Genomic DNA, 26966 nt, shown 5'->3' with positions numbered 1-26966 from the left:
GAACTAGAAGTAATCAGGACTCAAAACTGAGATCCTGCACATGAGCCAGGACCTTCAAAAGGCTATATCCTTCGTTTAAAAGAGGAGGCAAAGGGGTAGAGATTAGAACAAGTTGGCCTATTGGTAAAAAGAAGACAAAGAAGCTTCTCTGCTTCAGACTAGCATTTGAGTGGAAACAAAAGCCCTATAAGTTTCGGGTTCACATTTATATTCTGATTATTTCAGGAATCCTCAAGTCAAGAAATTAACATAAGTGTACTGGGCTGATGAATGCTAAACTTCCCTTGAGAAACACATCCTCAACCTATACAGTACAAAGTTCGTCCAGAATGAAGCCCCACTGAGAATAATATTGTTCACAATCCAAAATTACAAAATACACTTGAGTGAATGACAGCAGACATAGTAAACTACAGTATTAGACTTTGAGGAACTTCAGTAAAACTTGGATAAAAATTATCAGAATAAGTCTGTATAAAATCAAAGAATCAAAAACACAAGAAAAGACATTCCAAAAAAGAACAGGCAGATTTGGAAGAGAACCAAATAGAACTTATGTAAATTAAAAAAATACAGAAATTTTACAGCGGATAAGTTAAAGTGAAGAATTGACACAAGTTAAAAAAAATTTGGTGAAAATATTTGTCTAAAGAAATTGCCAAAAAGGCAGCACAGAAAGGTAAAGAAATGATAAATGTAAAGAGACATTAAGAGTGGAACAAGAGAGTTCAGCATTTATTTATCTTAATTTGTTTTTTGAGACAGAGTCTCGCTCTGTCACCCAGGCTGGAGTGCAGTGGTGTGATCTCAACTCACTGCACCCTCCGCCTCCCAGGTTCAAGCGAGTCTCCTGCCTCACCCTCCAGAATAGCTGGGACTACAGGCATGCGCCACCATACCCAGCTAGTTTTTGTATTTTTAGTAGAGACGGGATTTTACCGTGTTGACCAGGCTGGTCTCAAACTCCTGGCCTCAAATGATCCGCTTGCCTTGGCCTCCCAAAGTGCTGGGATTACAGGCATGAGCCACTGTACCCAGCCTAATTTTTTTATTTTTAATTTTTGTGGGTGCATAGTAGATGCATATTTATGGGGTACATGAGATACTTTGATACAGGGATCCAATGTGTAATAATCACATCATGATAAATGGGGTGTCCATTCCCTCAAGCATTTATCCTTTGTGTTACAAACAATCTAATTAAACTCTTTTACCTATTTTGAAGTATACAATTAAATTATTATTGACTATAATCATCCTGTTGTGCTGTCAAATACTGGGTCTTATTCTTTGTAACAATTTTTTTGTACCCATTAACCATCCCCATTTCCGCCCTCATGTCCCTACAACCCTTCCCAGCCTCTTGTAACCATCCCTCTACTCTCTATCTATGTAGCTTCCATTGTTTTTATTTTTAGCCCCCACAAATAAGTGAGAATATGTGAAGTTTGCCTTTCTGTGCCTGGCATATTTCACTTAACATAATGACCTCCAGTCCATCTATGTTGTTGCAGATGACAGAATCTCACTCTTTTTTATGGCTGAATAGTGTTCCATTGTGCATATATACCACATTTTCTTTATCCATTCATCTGTTGATGGACACTTAGGTTGCTTCCAAATCTTGGCTATTGTGAACAGTGCTGCAACAAACATGGCAGTGCAGATATCTCTTTGATATGCTGATTTCCTTTCTTTTGGGTATATACCCATGATTGGGACTGCTGGATCGTATAGTAGCCTATTTTCAGTTCTTTGAGGAACCTCCAAACTGTTCTCCATAGTGATTGTACTAATTTACATTCCCACCAATGGTGTACAAGGGCTCCCTTTTCTCCACATCCTCGCCAGCATTTGTTATTGGTTGTCTTTTGGATAAAAGCCAAGTTCAGTATTTTTAATAGTTCCAGAAGGAGAGATTGCAAAAAATTAATATTTGAAGATATACTTACTAATAATTCCTAGAATTGATTTAAACATTGGGACCTTCAGATTCAGAAATTATGAGCTCTGGTTAGTAATAATCTGTGATGTTCATCTGCTAGAATACTATACAGCAGTGAGAATGAGCTACATCTACATGCAATAATGTAAATGAATCTTACACATGCTACTGAGCTGAGATGCCAGACACAAAAGAGTACATACAGTATGGTTTCCATTTATATAAAGGCCAAAAATGGGAAAAACTTCTCTCTAGCATTAGTAAAGGGGATAATGATTACCTTGGGTGAAGTAAGGAGGTAGCAGGCAACTAGAAGGGGTTAACAGGGCACGCGTGCTTCTGAGAGTCTAATAATGACCTGATTGTTGATATGTGCTAGTTACATGGATAAATTTCCTTAAGAAAATTTATATACAGTTGACCCTTGAACAACATAGGTGTGAACTGTGTGTGTCCACTTATATGCAGGGTTTTTTTGTTTTGTTTGGTTTGGTTGGTTTTGTTTGTTTTTTTTTTATTATTATACTTTAAGTTTTAGGGTACATGTGCACAACGTGCAGTTTAGTTACATATGTATACATGTGCCATGTTGGTGTGCTGCACCCATCAACTCATCATTTAACATTAGGTATATCTCCTAATGCTATCCCTCCCCCCTCCCCCCACCCCACAACAGTCCCCGGGGTGTGATGTTCCCCTTCCTGTGTCCACGTGTTCTCATTGTTCAATTCCCACCTATGAGTGAGAATATGCGGTGTTTGGTTTTTTGTCCTTGCGATAGTTTGCTGCGAATGGTGGTTTCCAGCTTCATCCATGTCACTACAAAGGACATGAACTCATCATTTTTATGGCTGCATAGTATTCCATGGTGTATATGTGCCACATTTTCTTAATCCTGTCTATCGTTGCACATTTGGGTTGGTTCCAAGTCTTTGCTATTGTGAATAGTGCTGCAATAAACATACATGTGCATGTGTCTTTATAGCAGCATGATTTATACTTTTTTGGGTATACACCCAGTAATGGAATGGCTGGGTCAAATGGTATTTCTAGTTCTAGATCCCTGAGGAATTGCCACACTGACTTCCACAATGGTTGAACCAGTTTACAGTCCCACCAACAGTGTAAAAGTGTTTCTATTTCTCCACATCCTCTCCAGCACCTGTTGTTTCCTGACTTTTTAATGATTGCCATTCTAACTGGTGTGAGATGGTATCTCATTGTGGTTTTGATTTGCATTTCTCTGATGGCCAGTGATGATGAGCATTTTTTCATGTGTCTTTTGGCTGCATAAATGTCTTCTTTTGAGAAGTGTCTATTGATATCCTTTGCCCACTTTTTGATGGGGTTGTTTGTTTTTTTTCTTGTAGATTTGTTTGAGTTCATTATAGATTCTGGATATTAGCCCTTTGTCAGATGAGTAGATTGCAAAAATTTTCTCCCATTCCGTAGGTTACCTGTTCACTCTGATGGTAGTTTCTTTTGCTGTGCAGAAGCTCTTTAGTTTAATTAGATCCCATTTGTCAATTTTGGCTTTTGTTGCCATTGCTTTTGGGTGTTGTAGACATGAAGTCCTTGCCCATGCCTATGTCCTGAATGGTATTGCCTAGGTTTTAATCTAGGGTTTTTATGGTTTTAGGTCTATCATTTAAGTCTTTAATCCATCTTGAATTAATTTTTGTATAAAGTGTAAGGAAGGGATCCAGTTTCAGCTTTCTATGACTAGCCAGTTTTCCCAGCACCATTTATTAAATAGGGAATCCTTTCCCCATTTCTTGTTTTTGTCAGGTTTGTCAAAGATCAGATGGTTATAGATATGTGGCATTATTTCCGAGGGCTCTGTTCTGTACCATTGGTCTATATCTCTGTTTTGGTACCAGTACCATGCTGTTTTGGTTACTGTAGCCTTGTAGTATAGTTTGAAGTCAGGTAGTGTGATGCCTCCAGCTTTGTTCTTTTGGCTTAGGATTGACTTGGCAATGTGGGCTCTTTTTTGGTTCCATGTGAACTTTAAAGTAGTTTTTTCCAATTCTGTGAGGAAAGTCATTTGTAGCTTGATGGGGATGGCATTGAATCTATAAATTACCTTGGGCAGTATGGCCATTTTCATGATATTGATTCTTCCTACCATGAGCATGGAATGTTCTTCCATTTGTTTGTATCCTCTTTTATTTCCTTGAGCAGTGGTTTGTAGTTCTCCTTGAAGAGGTCCTTCACATCCCTTGTAAGTTGGATTCCTAGGTATTTTATTCTCTTTGAAGCAGTTGTGAATGGGAGTTCACTCATGATTTGGCTCTCTGTCTGTTATTGTTGTATAAGAATGCTTGTGATTTTTGCACATTGATTTTGTATCCTGAGACTTTGCTCAAGTTGCCTATCAGCTTAAGGAGATTTTGGGCTGAGACAATGGGGTTTTCTAGATACACAGTCATGTCATCTGCAAACAGGGACAATTTGACTTCCTCTTTTCCTAATTGAATACCCTTTATTTCCTTCTCCTGCCTGATTACCCTGGCCAGAACTTCCAACACTATGTTGAATAGGAGTGGTGAGAGAGGGCATCCCTGTCTTGTGCCCATTTTCAAAGGGAATGGTTCCAGGTTTTGCCCATTCAGTATGATATTGGCTGTGAGTTTGTCATAGATAGCTCTTATTATTATGAGATACGTCCCATCAATACCTAATTTATTGAGAGTTTTTAGCATGAAGCGTTGTTGAATTTTGTCAAAGGCCTTTTCTGCATCTACTGAGATAATCATATGATTTTTGTCATTGGTTCTGTTTATATGCTGGATTACGTTTATTGATTTGCGTATGTTGAACCAGCCTTGCATCCCAGGGATGAAGCCCACTTAATCATGGTGGATAAGCTTCTTGATGTGCTGCTGGATTCGGTTTGCCAGTATTTTATTGATGATTTTTGCATCAGTATTCATCAGGGATATTGGTCTAAAATTCTCTTTTTTTGTTGTGTCTCTGCCAGGCTTTGGTAACAGGATGATGCTGGCCTCATAAAATGAGTTAGGGAGGATTCCATCTTTTTCTATTGATTGGAATAGTTTCAGAAGGAATGGTACCAGCTCCTCCTTGTACCTCTGGTGGAATTCGGCTGTGAATCCATCTGGTCCTGGACTTTTTTTGGTTGGTGAGCTATTAATTTTTGCCTCAATTTCAGATCCTATTATTGATCTCTTCAGAGATTCAACTTCTTCCTGGTTTAGTCTTGGGAGGGTGTATGTGTCGAGGAATTTATCCATTTCTTCTAGATTTTCTAGTTTATTTGCGTAGAGGTGTTTATAATATTCTCTGATGGTAGTTTGTATTTCTGCGGGATTGGTGGTGATGTCCCCTTTATCATTTTTTATTGCATCTATTTGATTCTTCTCTCTTTTCTTCTTTATTAGTCTTGCTAGCAGTCTATCAATTTTGTTGATCTTTTCAAAAAACCAGCTCCTGGATTCATTGAGTTTTTGAAGGGTTTTTTGTGTCTCTATCTCCTTCAGTTCTGCTCTGATCTTAGTTATTTCTTGCCTTCTGCTAGCTTTTGAATGTGTTTGCTCTTGCTTCTCTAGTTCTTTTAATTGTGATGTTAGGGTGTCAATTTTAGATCTTTCCTGCTTTCTCTTGTGGGCATTTAGTGCTATAAATTTCCCTCTACACACTGCTTTGAATGTGTCCCAGAGATTCTGGTATGTTGTGTCTTTGTTCTCATTGGTTTCAAAGAACATCTTTATTTCTGCCTTCATTTCGTTTTGTACCCAATAGTCATTCAGGAGCAGGTTGTTCAGTTTCCATGTAGTTGAGTGGTTTTAAGTGAGTTTCTTAATCCTGAGTTCTAGTTTGATTGCACTGTGGTCTGAGAGACAGTTTGTTATAATTTCTGTTCTTTTACATTTGCTGAGGAGTGCTTTACTTCCAACTATGTGATCAGTTTTGGAATAAGTGCAGTGGGATGCTGAGAGGAATGTATATTCTGTTGATTTGGGGTGGAGAGTTCTGTAGATGTCTATTAGGTCCTCTTGGTGCAGAGCTGAGTTCAATTCCTGGATATCCTTGTTAACTTTCTGTCTCATTGATCTGTCTAATGTTGACAGTGGGGTGTTAAAGTCTCCCATTATTATTGTGTGGGAGTCTAAGTCTCTTTCTAGGTCTCTAAGGATTTGCATAGGCTCAAAATAAAGGGATGAAGGAAGATCTACCAAGCAAATGGAAAACAAAAAAAGACAGGGGTTGCAATCCTAGTCTCTGATAAAACAGACTTTAAACCAACAAAGATCAAAAGAGACAAAGAAGGCCATTACATAATGGTAAAGGGATCAATTCAACAGGAAGAGCGAACTATCCTAAATATATATGCACCCAATACAGGAGCACCCAGATTCATATGCAGGGTTTTTTTTTAAATGAATATATTGGAAAATATTTTGGAGATTCCTGACAACTTGAAAAAAACTCAGTTTTGCAGCCTAGAAATATCAAAAAATTAAGGAAAAGTTACATGTCATGAATGCATAAAATATATGTAGATACTAGTCTATTTCATCATTTACCATCATAAAATACAGACAAATCTATTTTTTTAATTATACTCTAAGTTCTAGGTTACATGTGCACAACATGCAGGTTTGTTACATATGTATACATGTGCCATGTTTGTGTGCTGCAGCCATTAACTCATCATTTACATTAGGTTTATCTCCTAATGCTATCCCTCCACCCTCCCCCCCCAATAAATCTATTATAAAAAGTTAAAATTTATCAAAACTTATACACTCAAACACAGACCGTTCATGGCACCAAAGCTGAGAAAAGTGTAAACGATTGTAAAAATGCAATATTAAATCATAACTGCGTAAAATTAACTGTAGTACATACTGTTCTGTAGTAATTTTGTATATAACTCCTGTTGCTATTACAGTGAGCTCAAGTGTTGCCAGTCTGTGCTTAAAGTGCCAGGTGATGCTGGTCATCTCTACATGAGCAGTTTGTCCCTCCAGTAAATTGTGTATTACAGTTAAAAAGTGATCTCGCAGTTCTTGTGTATTTTATGTGTTTAGTACACTACCATAAACCTTGAATAACACAAGGGGGGCCCATACAAAATGCCACTAGTGATGCTGGAAGTGTTCCCGAGAAGGAAAGTATGACATTACAAGAAAAAGTTAAGTTGCTTGATATGTACCATAACTTGAGGTCTGCCACCACAGTAGCCACCATTTCAAACAGATGATTCATCTTGGAAACAGGCAACATAAACATACAGCATCAATAAATACAGTACAGTACTATACATGTATTTTATCTTATGATTTTCTTAATAGCATTTTCTATGGCTTATTGTTAAGAAGACATATAACATACAAAATATGTGTTAACTGACAGTTTATTTACTGGTAAGGCTACTAGTCAGCCATAGAATATTAGTAGTTAAGTTTTTGGAGAGTCAGCAGTTATATGTGGCTTTTCTAATTCATGTGGAGTTGGCACACCTAACCCCCATGTTGTTCAAGACTCAACTGTATATGATTTTGGTACTCTTCTGTGTGCATTTTGTACTCTTTAAAAAGTATACAGACACCAAAAAAGTCTAAACCTAGGCAGATATACAGTAGTGGTGTTATTGTTTCTGTGTAAAATCTCATTTAGCCTTTTCTACAAATGTTTGAGCTAGGTACTGCCTTCCCCCATTTTTAATTGAAAAACTACAGTTCAGAGATGTTACCTTGACAGGGTAATCCAAGCTGTAGGTTGCAGAGCCAAGACACTTGTATAGGTCTTCTGATTCTACATCCAGACCTCTTTTCACAATTTCATAAATAATTGCAGTCCTGCTGTCTTTTTAAGGAAGACATTATTTTGTGGAAGATAATCTTTCATAGAAATCAAATTAAAGAAAATCTTTTCTTATTGGTTACCTTGGTCAGTGATTCAAGGCTAGTTTTCAAGACTGTACTTGGGAGTAAATGTATATCAATATTTCTGTCTGTGTGCTTTTATATTTTTATTTCTGTTCACCAAGAGTTTATACATTAATAAAAATTATCCCTGATTCAAAAATCTTGCCTAAAATTGATCTAGAACTTCTGTTTCTCTCAGGTTATATTAATCATCATGGAAAGAACAAAACAAATGACATATATGTTAAAATCAAGATAATCAAATACTAAATATCCCTATAAGTTCTGGCGTTACAAATATATAAAACTAAAATATTCTGACAATTCAGGAATATTTAATAAAAATTACTATTTTAAGTTTAATTCGTAATCACTTATAGGAGTGGGTTATTTTTAATTTATAATTTTTCACTAGGTCACTGGATTCTTGCCAGTTTTTAAGGTAGTCAAAACAGTCTTGCATGTAATAATAATAATAATGATTTATTAAGCACCTATTATATGCCAGAGGATCTGCTGGGCATATTTGTTATTCATTTAATCACTTAATATTATTTAACCCTTTTTATTTAGTGGGCAGTCAGTTATTATTTGTTGATTTTATTTTATTTCAGGACTCTTAACCTACTCTTGGAACTTTCCTAAAACTATAAGTATCGTTAAATCCAGTGAGTGCAGACAGTGTTGGGGATGTCTTTGGGGATTTAGTTATTATTTTTTATGAATTATGGTTGGGCTTGACAGCTGTCCTTGTGTTGACAGCTCTTCTGATTATAGCAGTTGTCAAACTCCATCCTTAAGCAGGTTGTAAATCCTGGCTCCTTCCGATTAAAACTAGGTCAGAGCCAATCGCAGGTTAACTAGAGGCCGGTATTCTACTACTGTACGTCCTTACTAGTTCATTCTAAATAGGCTTTGTGTGGCAGCATACTAAAACCCTTATGTGCCTATATTTTACCTGGGTTTTTTTTTAATCTTCAGATATTGGTCCTCCTGTTACTTCATGATTAAACATGGTCCTTGCTGAAGAGTATATTGGTATAAGTATGGTCTTACTTATAAATGGCCTGTTAGCCTTCCCCTCCTCTTCCTCCACTGGGAATACTAATATCATTGCATCTGTGTCTCCCAGGGGAAATCAAGGCTTTTCCTTGCACGTGCAGTCATGTGATTTCAGAGTGGGCAGGCTTTGTATCCTCATGAGCCCTCAGTCTTCCACGCAAAGCACCATCTGTTCTGTTACCTCCACACTGTTACAGGGCAGTGGGAGGAGGCATTAGAGTGAAAATAAATAAAATAAAAAAAAAAAGAAATTCATTATCAAAACCCTGAGGATTAATGGAGTCAGAAGGCTCACTGCTCTGAATGGAAATTCATCTTCACCTGTGCCAGTGTCAGGGCTGCCTCTATGGCACTTGACAAATAGAGGTTCCCAGGGTACCATAAATTCAGCAACTGTTCTAATCCCTATAGACTTGCTCAAGCTTTTCTGAGATGGGCTTATGACTGTTTTTGTATTTCCCAGCACATTGTGGGCACCAGTATATCCCCTCATTAATTTGGTAAAATGTTAGCACCCTTTCCTCCTCATTTTTCTCTCATATTCTTTGCCTTTGTCTGTTTTGAAAGGGTGGGCAGAGTACACATTTCTGAAAGATGACTCTACATTATGACTTGTGTTTCACTGAACATGCCAAAGGCAGAGAAATCAATTAACTAATGAATTTTGAGCAAACAGTAAGTGCCCAGCATTATGCTAGATGGAGAAGAGAATACAAAAAGAAGCATATACTCAAGTAGTTCAGCATCTCATTGTGGGGTACAAAGCATATTTTTTCAACAACTATTTGTTGGGCAACTATATGTGCAAGTAGGCTCTGTGCTAACATAAACATAATGGATGCCTCTCAACAGTGAGTCTCCAACAGATACTGCAAGTGGCCTCCTCATATCAGGATAAGATGCACCTGTGTGGTTTAAAAGGACCCTTGTCCTTTAAGTTATTCAGTCTCATTCTTTTTTATCTATATAACTTCCTCATTGTTTATGCTGTCATGTAAGTCTGTCTTTGCATAACTCCCAGGCATTTGTTAATAAAACCCCTTTCATATGAATGCCATATTTCTTGCTCTGAATTACTGTTTTGCCACCTTAAATTCCAAATTCATATCTCACATTATAGTTAGACCTGAGCTAAAATTTCATTCACATCTGTCAAGTTAGGGAATTATTATTAGCCTCAGGTAGCATTTTCATAGCTGGTTGACTAGAGTTCCCTAGATGTGGAACTTAAATTCTTAAGCTCCATACCTGGGTTGGTGCCCATAGATTATATCATATCTCACCACTGGAATGGTCACATCATCATACAGCATAAATGTAATTAATGTCCCTTTGTCTGAGATGGCCATCTTTTGTGTCTTCAGCCATAGCACACATCTACTTAGCCCTGATCTTCTCGCGTAACTGTTGGGTTGGAATTGAGCCAAGCGTGATCTGACAGATCATGATGGTTATTATTGTGTATTATAGATTTATACAATGGGAAGTTTATTCCCATGATACTGCTAAAGGTCCTATTTTAAAGCCTAAGTGTTTCTTACAATAAGTTGAGACTAATAACTGCAGTGTAAAGGTTAAAGTAGCTAGTTCTATGCAGGATAAATAGCCTTTTTTTCACAGCTACTTGATATAAGGCAATGTGTCTTCAACTTTGTTGTATTTTATAAGAGATTGTCTTTCATTTTAATCCAATTTGGTATACAGTGATTCATGATAAAACCCTTCAGAAGTTTAAAATTAAAATGTTGACTAAAATTATTTTTGGGCCAGGCACAGTGGCTCATGCCTGTTATCCCAGCACTTTGGGAGGCCAAGGCAGGTGGGTCACCTGAGGTCAGGAGTTTGAGACCAGCCTGGCCAACATGGTGAAACCCCACCTCTACTAAAAAATACAAAAACAATTAGCTGTGCTTGGTGGTGGGCACCTGTAATCCCAGCTACTCAGAAGGCTGAGGCAGGAGAATCGCTCGAACCCGGGAGGCAGAGGTTGCAGTGAACCAAGATCGTGCCATTGCACTCCAGCCTGGGCGACAAGAGTAAGACTCCATCTCAAAAAATGATAATAATGATAAAATTATTTTGGGAGGCAATTTTAAAGTCTCAAAAAGATACTATAATCCTAAACACTCTCTTGAATCCTCGGCCTTGGTAAAGATGATACCGTCTCTTCCTCCCTGTCTGTGGCATCCCTCAAGATGAAGAATAGCTCTTGAGTCTCAGGAGCTACCCAAAACTATGATCTCAGCCAATCAGCAGTGACCCTGGGGTTGGAACAGGCAATTCTTGCCTGCCTCTATGTTTTCTCCTATTCTCCATTCATCAGATATTAATATCTGTATCTTGGTAGCCTTCTAAGAAACCCCACATCGCTGAAGGCAGAGATAGCATTCACAAATGCTCTGATTTTAGCTCACAAAAAAATCTACCCTCCACTTTGATTCACTTAGAAGCACCTCTGAGTTTATATGGTTATGGATTAGAGTTTGGTGCCTAAGCTTGTCAGGATAAGTAATGTAAAGGATCACAAAATATATCCCAAGTACCTATCACAACCTGGTTTTGGCTGTCGGCTCTGTGCACACTTCACAGCACATAGCCGTGAAGCCCTGAGCTGGAAGTACCCACACAAGGAGAAAAGATGGTCAAGGGAACCAGAGAAACTACTTTATCTTTACCTAAGTACCGTTAGAGAGCAAAAGAAGAAATATCACTGCTAAATCATTTAAAACAAACCCCTGGGGAGTTCTGCTTCCACTATTAAGATGTAGAAAACTGCAAGAGAACTTCATTCTCACCCTAACAAAAGAAGCACAAGCCACCACACCCAGCTAATTTTTTGCATTTTTAGTAAAGATGGGGTTTCACCGTGTTAGCCAGGATGGTTTCGATCTCCTGACCTTGTGATCTGCCCACCTTGGCCTCCCGAAGTGCTGGGATTACAGGCGTGAGCCACTGCGCCTGGCTGAGAGTTCACCTATTCTTTGAAGACAGGCATTGTTTTCTCCTTTCTAGTTATGAAAATCCTAGATGGCATCTTTTTCCAGTATGAGGCTGATTTGTCTACACTGAAAATCTGTTGGCTGGACATGGTGGCTCATGCCTGTAATCCCAGCACTTTGGGAGCCCCGGGTGGGCGGGTCACTTGAGGTCAAGATTTCGAGACCAGCCTGGCCAACATGGTGAAACCCCTTCTCTACCAAAAATACAAAAATTAGCCAGTCATGGTGGCACATGGCCAGTAATCTCACCTACTCAGGAGGCTGAGGTACGAGAATCGCTTGAGCCCAGGAGGCAAAGGTTGCAGGGAGCCAAGATCGCAACACTGCACTCCAACCTGGGCGACAGAGTGAAACTCTGTCTAATAGAAAAGAAAAAAAGAAAATCTGTTGTGTAGTATAGCCATCCTCATCAGTTATCTTTATCTTAGTTAGATCTTCTGGATAACTTGCTCTCACTTCTGCATCAGCACTTACTGCTTTACCTTGCACTTTTATTTTATGGAGACAACTTTCCTTCAACCTCATGAGTCAGCCTCTGCCAACTCCTAACTTTTCTTCTGCAGTTTCTTCATCTCTTTCAGTCTTCGTAGAATGAAAGAGCCAGAGCCTTGCTGTGGATTAGACTTTGGCTTCAGGGGATGTTGTGGCTGGTTTGATCTTCTACCCAGACCACTCAGACTTTTTCTAAATCAGCAATAAGGCTGTTTTGCTTTCCTGTCATTTGTATGTTCACTGGAATAGTGCTTTAATTTTCTTCAAGAACTTTTATTTGGCATTCACAAGTTGGCTGACTGGCACAAAAGCCTAGCTTTTGTCCTATGTTGGTTTTTGACATGCCTTCATTACTAAGCTTAATCATTTCTAGCTTTTGATTGAAAATAAGAGATGTGTGACTCTTCCTTTTACTTGAGTAAAAGGATTGGAGTTCATTGTAGGATTATTGGCCTAATTTCAATATTATTGTGTCTCAGGGAATAGGGAGACCCAAGGAGAGGGATAGACGAGGGATTGGCTGTTCCATGGTACAGTCAGAACACATAAAACATTGATTGATGAAATTCATATTATATGGGTGCAGTTCATGGCACCCCCAAAAAATTACAATAGTAACATCAAAGATCATTTATCATAGATCCTCACAACAGAAATAACAATAATGAAAAGTTTGAAATATTGTGAGAATCCCCACAGTGTGACACAGAGACACAAAATGAACAAATGCTGTTGGGAAAATGGCACCGATAGACTTGCTTAAATATAGAGTTGCCACAAATCTTTAATTTGAAAAAAAAAATGCATTATCTGTGATGCACAGTAAAGTTAAGCACAATAAAATAAGTTATGCCTATATAAAATATTTTGAACTGAATGAAAATGAAAACACTCTTGTCAAAACTTGTGGGATGCTTGGGAGGCTGAGGCAGGAGAATCGCTTAAGCCAGGCCAGGGAGGCAGAGGTTGCAGCAAGCCAAGATTGCACCACTGCACTTCAGCCTGGGCGACAGAGCAAGACTCCGCCTCAAAAAAAAAAAAAAAAATTGCAGGATGCAGCTAAACCAGTGCTTTAAAGGAAATTAAATACTATTAGAAAAGAAGAAAGATTTCATATCAGTGATCCAAGCTTCTATCTCAAAAAAAGAAGGGCAAATTAAGCCCAAAGTAAGTGTGAAACAATAAAGATCGGAGCAGAAATCATTGAAATAGAAAATCAGAAAACAGAAAATCAGTGAAATCAAAAACTGGTTGTTTGTAAAGATCAATAAAACATAGTCCTCTAGCCAGACCAAGGAAGAAAAAAAAGAGAAGAAACAGGCTGGATGCTGTGGCTCACACCTGTAATCCCAGCACTTTGGGAGACCAGTGCAGAAGGATCACTTGAGACTAAGAGTTCGAGACCCAGCCTGGGCAACATAGCAAGACCCCATCTCTACAACAAATGTTTTAAAACATGCCAGGCATAGTTGTTTGAGCCTGTAAGTCCCAGCTACTCAGGAGGCTGAGGCAGGAGGATCACTCATGCCCAGGAGTTCCAGGATGCAGTGAGTTATGATTGTGCCACCGCACTCCAGCCTGAGTAACAAAGTGAGATGTGACACCAAAAAAAAAAACAAAAGGCAAATTACCAGTTTCAGGAATGAAAGGATATCAGTACATATCCTAAAGATATTATAAAGCAAATAAGGAAACATTATACACAATTTTATACCAATGAAATAGATAACTTAAATGAAATGGACAAATTTATTATTATTATTATTATATATTTTTTTAAGTCAGGGTCTCAGTCACCCAGGCTGGAGTGCAGTGGTGCGATCTCAGCCTGCTCACACTTCAGGCTCCACCTCCCAGGTTCAAGCGATTCTCCTGCCTCAGCCTCCGGAGTAGCTGGTATTATAGGAATGCGCCACCATGCCCGGCTAATTTTTGTAGTTTAGTACAGACAGGGTTTCACCATGTTGCCCAGGCTGGTCTCAAACTCCTGACCTCAGGCAATCTGCCTGCCTTGGCCTCCCAAAATGCTACTGCTAGGATTACAGGCAAGAGCCACCGCACCTGGCCAGGACAAATTTTTTTAAAGACACAAACTACCAAAGTTTTCTGAAAAAGAAATAGAAAGCCAGGTGTGGTGGCTCACACCTGTGATCCCAGCACTTTGGGAGGCTGGGGCGGGCGGATCACCTGAGGTCAGGAGTTCGAGATCAGCCTGGCCAACATGGTGAAACCCTGTCTCTACTACATACACAAAAATTAGCCAGATGTGGTGGTGCGCACCTGTAATCCCAGCTGCTCGGGAGCCTGAAGCAGGAGAATCACTTGAACCCGGGAGGCGGAGATTTCACTGAGCCAAGATCGTGCCACTGCACTCCAGCCTGGGCAACAGAGCCAGACTTCATCTCAAAAAAAAAAGGAAATAGAAGTGCATGCCTTTAGTCCCAGCTGGGAGGCTTGGGGAAGAGGATCACTTGGAGCCAGGAGTTCAACACTGCACTGCACTATGATCATGCTTGTGAATAGCCACTACATCTAGCTAGGGCAACATAGCCTGACTCCATCTTAAAAAAAAACAAAAATAAAAAATAGAAAATCTGGATAGCTCTATATTTATAAAAGAGATTGAATTTGTAGCTAGAAACTTTCCCACAAGATTTCCAGGCCTTGATTACTTCACTGGTGAATTCTACTGAGTATTTAAGGATGAAATTGGCCAGGCACAGTGGCTCATGCCTATAATCCTAGCACTTTGAGAGGTGAGGCAGCCAGATCACCTGAGGTCAGGAGTTTGAGACTAGCCTGGCCAATGTGGCAAAACCCCGTCTCTACTAAAAATACAAAAATTAGCTGGGTGTGGTGGTGGGTGCCTGTAATCTCAGCTACTCAGGAGGCTGAGGTAGGAGAATTGCTTGAACCCAGGAGGTAGAGGTTGCAGTGAGCCAAGATCATGCCATTTGCACCATTGCACTCCAGCCTGGGCAACAGAGTGAGACTTTGTCTCAAAAAAAAAAAAAAAAAAAAAATTCTACACACAAACACTTCCAGAAAATAGAAGGGGAGGGAGCACTGCCCAGCTCATTCTGTGAAACCAGAATTACCCTGATAACCAAATCCAGACAAAGACCTTAGAGGAAAAGAAAACAACAGGCCAGTATTCCTTATGAACATAGATGCAAAAATGTTTAATAAGATGTTAGCAAATTGAACCTAGTAAATACAAAAAGGTTAATAAATTTTGTGCAAGTGTGTTTATCCTAGGAATGCAAGGTTTGTTTGGCAATTGAGAACCATAGTATTTCACCATATGAACAGATCAAAAAAGCAAAATGTGATTTTATCAATTTATGTAGAAAAGGCTGACAAAATTCAACTTCCCTTCATGATTAAAACAACAACAACAACAAAAACTCACAACAAAATAGAAATAGGAAATAGTAGGGAATTTCTTTAGCCTGAGAAAATCGACAGTTAATATCGTCCTTGATGATGAAAGGCTGAACACTTTCCCTCTAAGACTGTGGACAAAGATATCCACTCTCTCCACTTTGATCCAACATTGTATTAAAAGTTCTAGCCAATGCATTAAGGCAAGAAAAAGAAATGAAAGCCACATAGATTTAAAAAGAAGAAATAAAACTTCCTTTTCTCGTAGGTGATGTGTCCATCTATGTATAAGACCCCAAGAATCTATTAAAAAAAAAAAACCTAGAATAAGTGAGTTCACCAAGTTCACAGGATGTAAAATCAATATACAAACATGAAAAGTATTCCTATATACTAGTAATGAACAATTGAAAATTAAAATTCGAAAACACCAGGGATAGTATACAAATCTTAATTGTTTTTCTTTATGCTTACAGTAAATTGAATTTTTAAAAGATATTATTTGCAGTAGCCTCAAAAACATGAAATTCTTAGGGATACATCAAACAAAATAAGAGTAAGATTTGTATGTGTATAATTCCTAAATATTATCGAAATTAAGGAAAATTTAAATGGAAAGAGATACCATTGTTCATGGATCAAAAGACTCAGTATTGTTCAGCTGTCCATTCTTTCCAAATTGATTCATAGATTCAGCGGGGTCCCAATCAGAATCCCAGCAGGATCTTTGTAAAAACTTATAAGTTGATTCTAAAATTTATATGGAAAAGCAAAGGACCTAGAATAATCAAAACAACTTTGAAAAAGAATAAAGTTGGAGGCCCCACACTGGTTTCAGGACTTACTATAAAGTACAGAAATCAAGCCAATGTTGTATTGGTATAAGAATAGGTATATAGATCAAAGGAACATGATAGATAACCTAGAAATAGATCCAATCACAAATGGTCAGCTGATTTTTGACAAAAATGCCAACATAAAATTCAGTGGAGGGAAGACTAGCCTTTTCAACGTATAGAGCTGTAACAATTGGACATCAAAATGCAAAACAAAACAAAAAGGTGAGCCTGAAGCCTACTCAAAAATTAACTGGGAAGGTAAGATCTTAGATGTATATGTAAGAGGAATAATGATAAAGAACTAGAAGAATATCTTTGTGATCTTGGTGTAGGCAAAGTTTTTTTTAGATGGAACACAAGCACAAACTATAAAAGAAAAAATAAATTGCACTTTATCAAAATTTAAAAATTCCACTCTTCAAGATACTCTTAAAAAAAATGAGAAGTCATATACTGGGAGAAAATATTTATAAAACATATATTTGGAAAAAAAAATTTTGTGTCCACAACATATAAAGACCTCTTATAAGAAAATGACAACCTTATTAACAAATGAACAAAAGATTTGAACAGATAAATCACCAAAGATAGATAGTTGGCAGATAAGCACATGAGAAATGTTCATTGTTAGACATTAGGGAAGTACAGATTAGAAATCACAATGAAAAGCCACCATAGACCTAACTAGAATGGCTAAAAAATATTTTTAATAATAGTAAAGTGCTGGTAAGGGTGCAAAGGAACTGGAATTTATACTTATTGGTGTGAGTGAAAACTTTAGAAAAGTTTGGTAGTTTCCTGGAAAGTTAAACATTCACTTGCCATATGACTCAGCAATTCTACTTCTAGATATTTACCCACAAGCTGTGAAAACATAAAACAGGACAACACAAAGACCTTTACCCAACTGTTCGTAAGATCCCTGTTCATAATGCCAAAAATTGGAAGCAGCCCAGATGACTGCATACATGCATACAGTAGAATACTACTCAGCAATCAAAAGGAAAGAACTGATACTTGAAGCAATGTGGATGGATCACAAAAGCAACATGCTAAGTGAAAGAGACCAGATACAAAAGACTATGCTATATGATTTCTATTTCTGGAAAAAGACAAAACTATAGGGACAGAAATCAGATCGGTGCTTGCCAAATTATGCCACTCCACTCCTCATAAATGCCTGTGGATCACTTGACAAAACTCAGACTTCTTAGTGTGACCGATTCAAGGCCCTAGATAACTTGACTTCAATCCAACCTCTGTACTTTCAACTCTTTGTACTGCTTCCCTGAGCCAGCAGAGACAGTTCTCCAGCATTCCTTGTCATGCCTCTCCTAGTGGTATTTTCGCATTCTGCAATGCCTTTCCTTCTCAGAAATTTTGCTCGATCCTTCAAAGCTCATCTTACATCTTACTACCAATTTGTAGTGTTTCCTGATCCCTCAGTCTCCTCCTTCCTCCCTGCCTTTGCAGTGTATGTATTTCTGCCACATTTCTTATTCATTCTTTTGTGTTAGAATTGGTTGTTTACATATTTACAATCCATTCTGAATAGCAGGAATCTTACCTGTATTCCTGACTGGACTGGTACAGTATGTGCTCAATAAAATGGCTATAGGGCCGGGTGCAGTGGTGTATGCCTGTAATCCCAGCACTTTGGGAGGCCAAGGCGGGAGGATTGCCTGAGCCTAGTAGTTTGAGACCAGCCTGGGCAACAAAGTGAGACTCCCAAAGTGAGAGCCAAGCATGGTAGCACACACCTATATAGTTATAACTACTCAGGAAGCTGAGGTGGGAGGATTTGCTTGAGCCCAGAAGGTCAAGGCTGCAGTGAGCCATGATCTCGCCACTGCACTCCAGGTTGGGAGACAGAGCCAGACCCTGTCTCAAAAAGTCCGTGAAATTCAGCTCCATACCCTTTCTCTTGAAACAAATGAGCAACAACAACAACAAAAACCCACACACTGTGTTGTGTGATAATCATGCTGCAAAAGAGTATATAAAATGTATATGAAGAATTTAAACAAAGCTTTTAAAAATTTACCCACTACTTAGCTTAAGAAATAGAACATCACCAATATCTTTGAACCTCCTGTGCATGCCTCTCAATCATATGGCCTTCCCTAGTGGTAATCTTTGAGAGATTACCACTATCCCAAATTTTATATTAATTAATGATTTCCTTTGTAGTTTCAGTACATATTTGTATGTCTGAATCATATTCTTTAGTTTTACCGGTTTGCAAAATTTTGTTTAAATGAAATGATATCATATGTATTCTTCTCACTTGTTTTTTTCCCTTCAACATTATGTTTTGGAGATAAACCCATGTTGTGTGAAGCTATAGTTCATTAGTTTCCAGTGTTCTACAGGATTTCATTGTACAAGTGATCAATACTTTATTTATATGTTACCATTAATGAGCGTTTGGGCTGTTTACATTTGGGGTCTGCTGTGTACATGCTTGCAAATATCTCCTGGAGAACATATGCAAAAGTATATAACTAGAAGTAGAATTACTAGGTTGGAGGGTATATGTGTGTTTAGGTTTAACCTGTAATGCTCTAGTGTTGTCTAAAATAGCAACACCAGTGTACACTCTGACATCTAAAGGGGTTTCTCTGCTCCAGTCCTTATCAGTGCTTGGCATTGTCAAAGTTAATTTTCACCAATCTAGTGGGTATGAAATGGTATCTCCTGGTTTTAATTTTCATTTCCCTGATAATGTGGAATGCTCATCTTTTTATATGTTTATTGCCATTTATGTTTCATCTGGTGCCTCTTTTTGCCTTTAGTGAGTCCCAGTTGTCTCTACACCATCTAATCATTGGGTCTTTATTTCCCCACTGATCTGCCAGCTTTGTCATGAATTAAGTTTTCATATGTGTGCAGAAGAATAGATCACCCTCTGTTCTAAGCTTCTGGTCTGTTTTTCCATTTTGGGGCAATACCATACCATATTTATAAGTCTTGATATCTCTACGCCCTTTTTTCCCCTTCCTGTACCTTGAACTTATCAGTTACACCCATTGGTGCCTTTTTTTTTTTTTTTTTTTAGTTCCTGTAGAAGAATGGTCTGATTACTGGGCCAGCTTTTTTTTAAAAAATTTACAAATTGTAAAGTTCAGTTAGTTACCCACTTATCCCCTCTTCAAAAACAAAACAAAACCTTTTATTTGACATTTACAGTATTTTTAGCCTTTTGACATATCCTGCACATGTATCATTATTCTGAAATAAAGATCAAAGTAAAATAGATACTTAAATACTATTTTTTATTCCTTTCCTTAATCCCATTCTTAAAGACTAGAGCCCAAAAGCCTCACAATTTAGAATATATATTTGTTTGCGTGTGTGTTCCTAGACAACCAAAAAGGTAAATTTGATTTTCCTAAGGCTTGAAAATCTAGCATAATACCACAGTTCTCATTACCAGGCCTGACCATCCTTCAGTCACTGTAACATTGCTCATTGTTCAGTATTCCTTATTGCTCAGCACTTTCCTTTCCTGCTGAAGTAGAGGAGTTTCTCTGTCTCTTGGTAAACTTGTTTTCATATTTGTCAATTTTCCTTTCAGCCTCTGCCTGTGAGTTTCTGGATATTGTAGAGCTGCTGCTCCAGTCTGGTGCTGACCCCACTCTCCGAGACCAGGATGGCTGCCTGCCAGAGGAGGTGACAGGCTGCAAAACAGTTTCTTTGGTGCTGCAGCGGCACACAACTGGCAAGGCTTAATCAAAAGACTGGAAAACTGCAGTCTGTAATAGCATAAGGCTTCCATTATGAAAGAAAACTACAAAAATAATACTTCTTTTCCACCCGTCTTTGGTATGTATTGGCTAATAAAATCAGTTCTGTGGAACTGGGATTTTGAAGTCTCAGCAATTCATTCTTCTTGCATACATTCTAGGCAGTACAGTTTTGGTGATGAACATGTGTACTGTGCATAATATAATCCAATTCTGCTGAGCATGCTCTGAAATTTATCACTGCTTTAGAGGGTGGGCAGAAGAGGAGACAGATCATATTTCACAATATTAAACATGGCTGCTTTTTTAAAAAACATACAGAAGCAAATGTAACCATTAGGGAAAGTTTCATGCAATCCCAACATGGTAGAGATCAAATTATCTTTTGTAGCATTTTGTACACATGGTCTGAATAGGCAGCTAAGATGTCTATTCTTTTGGCAGACATAACTAGGAAGATAGGAAAGAAGAGGGATGTTAAGAAAAACAAAGCAAAGGAGAAAGCAGAATTTTGTCACGTAAGGGGTGTAGAAGTCAGAACAACTAGATTTACTGAAAATCTCAAAACCCTGGGGCATTTTAGAATAGTACTCTGTTTTCACTCTAGGATTGAAACAGATTCTGGAGGATTCATCAGGGTTAGGTCAGATTCCTTAAACTCACCTTCACTAAACAAGAAAGGAATTTCTTTAGGGCTCTTTTAATTGTCTATAATGACCATGTCATATGTAGCAGCAGTCTCTGTTAAAAAAAAAAAAAAAAAAAAAAAAGCTTAGATCTGAACTGTTAGGTCTCTTTGGGTCTATCTAATATGTTAATGTGAAGTTACTTCTGGATACCAGAAGAGCTTTTGTTTTTTATTAAAAATGTAGACAAGTATGCTCTCATTTTAATTTAAAGGATAGATCAGTATGCCACTTTTTTTTTTTTTTTTTTTTTGAGACAGGGTCTCGCTATGTCACCCAGGCTGAAGTGCAGTGGTATGATCATGGTTCACTACAGCCTCAACCTCCTGGGCTCAAGGAATCCTCCCACCTCAGCCTCCTGTGTAGCTGAGATAGCTGGGACTACAGGTGCGTGCCACCACACCCCACTAATTTTTGTATCTTTTGTACAGATAGGGTCTCTCTGTGTTCCTCAGGGTGGTCTCAAACTCCTGGCCTCAAGCAGTTTTCAGGCCTCTTAAAGTGCTGAGATTACAGGTGTGAGCCACTGTGCCCAGCCAGGTATGCCACTCTTGAAACTGGCTCCCAACATTTTCCCTGTAAGCCCCAAAAGCTCCATCTGGGGAATTCACTGACTTTTACTATTATATAAGGAAAGTAGATAGTTGACATAGGAAGAGAAATGAAATAAAAAATGAGTTGAGATGCAAAGATAACCACTTAAAAGATAATTTTTCTAACAGGTGTTACTATTAAAATAATGAGTAATAAACTTGCTTAGTATAGTCCTCAACGGTGAAGAAGATTTTCATTAGCATGAACTAACCTGTTCTTTGGAATAAGCCCCTCTATAACAGAAATGAGGCATATTAGTGCTGTTTATTTTGTGATTTTTCTATCTTAACTTCTTATTTTCTGAGATATAAACCAAAATCATTCACCAAGATGATTCATTTTTGAAATAATTTAATTAATCTGTGGAAGTGATATGCATATTAGTACATACTGAAATGCTGTAATTCTAGTAGAGCATTCTCTTCACTGTCTGTTCTTTCACAATCCTTGCTACATTGCAACCTGCTGTTTAGCTTAAGTCTTTCACATTCCACACTAATTGAATGTGTTTTAAGAAACATACATTAGTTATAGTGAAGTCACCAGGATGATGCCTTCAGTTTTTAATTGGTATTACTTTGTGCATTTTTTAAGACATTAGCAAATCAAAAACCATTTATTCATTTTTAATTTACAGGGTATTTGAGCAAGAAGCTATTAAGGAACTCCTTTTTTCATCTCTTTAGCAGTTCGAACTTGATATTTCTTAGACAAGTTTTTTATTACCTGTTTTGCCGCATCTAAAACTGTATAGATTTTAAGCAAAGAATATAACTTATCTTTTATTTTATTTTAAAGGTTTCAAATTTATATTCAAAGCTATCACTAAAAACAGCCATCAACTTAACATTTTCAAATACATTCTAAAGCCAATTTCCAAAATCTCTGTTCTTTATTCATGAGTGTCTGAATTTTGAGAAACCTTGCTATCATATAATCTATAGATCATCTCCCTGTGCCTTAAAACACTGTTCTAGGCCCATGGCATTCCCTTTTTTCAGTATTTTGTATATTTAGAATTAATATACTACATGGGATATTAATATACTACATGAGATATCTTGAAAAGTCTCATAGAAAGTAGTGAATTACCAATCAGAAACTAACTAAATCTTTTAAACCTATTACAATTATGTTTCTAATAAAGATGTAAGAAGTCAGCCAACTGGCCACATATAATCTCTTATGCTTGTCAGGTAGAAGGGTAACAACCAACGTAAAATATCTGGAATTGTATCTAGTATATCTTTTTTTAATGTTTCAGCATTTTCCAGCTAAAAGGTTGCTATAATCCAGTGAACCTTTCTATTAAATAGGTATTTCTTAGCTTCCTGCCAGATTTAACTACTTGGCTATGGGTTATTATTCCATGTACACTACAGCATCTCTGAGATTAATGAATAATGTGTGTGATTGTAGCACAGCTGAGCTTGGGTTGCAGAAGAGTTGAGCGTCCAGACAAATATATGCTTCAGTTGAACATGAAAGCTTTTATCAAACTTCAAGCCCTTAAAAATTCCCCTCCATAAATAAATATTTATCATAGAATAGGTATGTAACCCATCAGCTACAATTTAGTAATGAAAATATTGAGTTTAAATATTTATGAGTGAATTTCAAATCCCAGTTCCTAAGGTGATTTGAGTCAAATGTTTTCATCATAGTTACAATATTATATTTGATCAGTTCTGAGATGCACCTATTTTCACTTTTTTTTGAGACAAGGTCTCACTCTGTCTCCCAGGCTAGAGTGCAGTTCTCATTTTAACATATCCAAAATTGGATGGCTTTTATAAACAATGGCATATCGTAGTTCAGTTGCCAGCATTTTTTCTTAGTGATACATAAACTTATGTTTCTTATAATCAGTTATATCTTAGCTTCAATGAAATAACAGCAGTTACGCCGTTTTTTGGGTTTTTTCGTCTTTTTGAGTCAGGGTCTCGCTCTTGTCATCTAGGCTGGAGTGCAGTGGCACCATTATAGCTCACTGCAGACTTGACTTCCCTGGCTCAAGCAATCCTCCCACCTCAGCCTCCCAAGTAGCTGGGACCACAGGTGCACACCACGAGGCTCAACTAATTTCTTTTTTTCTCCCTGTATTGCCCAGGCTGATCTAGAACTCCTGGTCTTAAGTGATCTGCCCGCATTGGCCTCCCAAAGTGCTGGGATTACAGGCAAGAGCCACCAGGCTTGGCCACATGATCTTATTTATTCAAAATCAGGGTAATTATGCAAGCCTTTCATATCAAGTCCAAAAGCTTCTCTGAACTATGTTATCAGGATAAGCAAAAGCAAAAACAAAAGCAGCCATACTCAAAGGTGCATTATCAGGCCTCTTGGTGGATTTTATATATACACATTGAGCTTTCGTTTTATACCATAAAGACCTTAATATCGGCCAGGCTCGGTGGCTCATGCCTGTAATTCCAGCACTTTGGGAGGCTGAGGCGGGCGGATCACCTGAGGTCAGGAGCTTGAGACCAGCCTGGCCAACATAAAGTGAAAAACCCCATCTCTACCAGAAAATACAAAAATTATCTGAGCATGGTGGCGCATGCCTGTAAGTCCCAGCTACTTGGGAAGCTAAGGCAGGAGAATCACTTGAACTCGGGAGGCAGAGGTCACAGTGAGCCAAGATCGCGCCACTGCACTCCAGCCTGGATGACAGAGCAAGACTCCGTCTCTCAAAAAAAAAAAAAAGACCTTAATACCATCTTTCGTAATCATGTGATTTGAAAAGTTGTTACGATTATTATTGGAACTTTTACCTTGAGTATCTTTAATTACTTTAGTAATCATTCACAATTTCTTCACCAGAGAGATGTTGGATTAAAGTATAGTGATTATCAGACTCAAGAAAAAATATGCTTCCTTCTTATGCTTGTCAGCCAGTGTTTATTATGCACCAAGTATGGTCAATTTTCAAATATGCATTAATTGGCATTACACTAGAGGATTGAACAGGTAAAGCTATTTAACCTAATCTTTATTCACTTGTCCTTGAAATATTCCTGTCATGATTTTTGTATGGATCACTTCGCATGAATCATGTATAGTTATTGGGAATTCACGGCTTATTTCTTAGTCCAGGGAGACGAGTCCTTATCCGAAATGCTTGATTTCTGGTTTTTTGGGTGTTTTTTTTAATTTTGGAATGTTTGCATTATATACGTACCAGCTGAACATCCCTAATCCAAAAGGCCAAAATCCAAAATGCTTCAATGAGAATTTCCTTTGACATGTAAGCGCTGAAACAGTTTTGGGTTTTGGAGCATTTAGGATTTTGGTTTTCAGATTAGGGATACTCAACCTGTATTTTTCTTTTATACTTGAATTCTTCAAAATTTTCTTTCGTGTGTTTTGTTGTATCACTTTTTCTTAGCACAATTACAAAACAAATGTAATTATTTCACATTTTTCACTCTCTTATGGGATGCATGTACTGGAATTACTTCTGGGGACACTATTCCTTCCTTTGTATTCCTGGTCCTAAAAACCAGGTCAGGGTGTTCACAAGTTACAGACTGGTTTCTATGCATGACAGAATCTTTTGCTGATTTTATTCCTAAATGATAGAATACGGAAGTTAAAAACCAGGTGAGAAAACCAGGGGAGGAGCTGCCCAACAGCATGCACTTGTCTCATGGTGGAGCTCTAGGCACTCAGGGTGGGTTTTTCTCAGAGGTGGGAAAGTCACCATTTGAACCTAATGCTACTAGATGCAGTGGCTGAACATGTGGGACTATGAGGGCATTAAGGAGTCAACAGGTGACTTCCAATGGACTGTACTAGGCAGCAGCCACATTTATACGCACTAAAAGCAGGATTTATTTTTCCTCTCACTTGCGTAGCAATCTCGGTTTCCATTTTAATATTTAGAAGGTAAGTTCAGTTGATGGACACTTTGTGTAATAAAAGGCTCTTTTAAAGTACAAGCTTATGCACACACACAGGATAAAAAGTGGCACTTCCTGTGCCCATGGCTTTCATGGAGTACATTTGTGGAGCCCAAAGCTTAGTCCTGGATATGTTTATAGCACTTTAGCTCCGTTTGTGAGTTTGGAACCCTTCCAAAAAAAAAAAAAAAAAAAAACAGAAAGACATATATTATTGTTTATAATCTGCTTTATTCCACCAAACCTTGACTGAACAGACTTGTGCATTGCTGTTTAAATCCCTCAGTGCCTTTAACTACCGATACAGAAAGTGGTTAATGCGCATTCTGAACGAAGCTTGGCATCCACTCCAGGGAATCACTTTAATTGAGGAGCATTAAATGTTACAATGATTTTTTTTTTTAAAGCCAGCACACACATACTGAGTATAGAAGTTCTGGCCCACCAGTAATGTAGTTTCTTAGTTATTGTATTCCTCCAGCTTTAAGCCCTGCAGTTGACAGGTGTCGAAAAAGTGACTTTCAATTCCCTAAGCCACTATCTGCAGGCAGCTGGCCAGTGAGGAGGCAACCTTCAAGGATTCCACTTCAGAGGAGGGGAGGGAGCTGTCAACTTTATGGATGTTTGTTTTTCTGAGATAATAAACTAGTCCCAGGTGACTAAAATATGAGATTTAACCCCAAAGTTCTTGCCTGGGCTCTCCATTGCTGTGCAGAAGCCATCTGTTGAAATCTATTTACCATTTTAATGGTCTCTCTTGCTCTTTTTTTTTAACTGCTTATTTCCAACTCCAAATGTGTGCCAAGACCACTTTTTTGGGTCTATATTTTATCTTTCAGAAAGCAATTCCCAGCCTTTCCCAAATCCCCAACCCCTCCCAGCCAACAGGAGATCCTGGTCCAGGGTTGGCAAGCAAGAGAAAGATAAATCATTAATTTTTTTAAAAAAGCCTCTCCTACAACTCTAGAGGCAGCTCAGCCTCTATGAGCCTTGTAAGTTCTGACCAGTTCAGGGACACCCTGTAACTTGCCCAATTTAATTACAGAATAACATACCAGTTTGTGTGTAATACTTTTATTCAATTTTTGTGTTTTTGGAGATGGCTAAAGGAAAAATCACCAAAAAGAAAGGGTTCTAAAGGAAAATCCTGAAATCACAATGGCAAAAATGACAGAAGAAAATGAATTAAAAAATCAAAAGAGACAGATGTTACATGCAGAAGCCCACGTCTGCTTTCTCTGAGAGGATGTGATATACTCTTCCCCGGGCAGGAGCTGATCATTTAAAAGACCTTTATTTAATAGTTTCGGATGGTTTATTTGTATTACTCCTTTTAGAAGGATGATAATAAAATTTCCCTTTTCCTAATGATTTGGCCCCATTTTATAAACATTGATTTTTTTTTTCTCCCTCCTAACTCAAT

The 26966-nt window shown here is 38.0% G+C and overlaps 1 protein-coding gene across 7 annotated transcripts in view; it reads left to right on the top strand.

Moving 5' to 3' along the window:
- The window catches only part of ACBD6 (acyl-CoA binding domain containing 6), a 232925-nt gene that overhangs the window by 193865 nt on the left and 12094 nt on the right, over nt 1–26966 (top strand). For 2 of the 7 annotated variants that reach the window (XM_047432082.1, XM_047432081.1), the window contains exons 8-9: nt 20196–20443; nt 21311–21437. In XM_047432082.1, the coding sequence (XP_047288038.1) occupies nt 20196–20350 (155 nt within the window). In that variant the 3' untranslated portion in view covers nt 20351–20443; nt 21311–21437. Of the gene's footprint in view, nt 1–20195; nt 20484–21306; nt 21438–26966 lie in introns of those variants that run through there. The other 5 variants (XM_047432085.1, XM_047432084.1, XM_047432083.1 and 2 more) reach the window with 3 other exon arrangements.

This window comes from Homo sapiens, chromosome 1, assembly GCF_000001405.40.
Source record: "Homo sapiens chromosome 1, GRCh38.p14 Primary Assembly".
NCBI classification, from domain to species: Eukaryota; Metazoa; Chordata; class Mammalia; order Primates; family Hominidae; genus Homo; species Homo sapiens.
The sequence above is the reverse complement of the archived record's forward strand: the minus strand, read 5'-3'. Positions and strand labels throughout refer to the sequence as shown.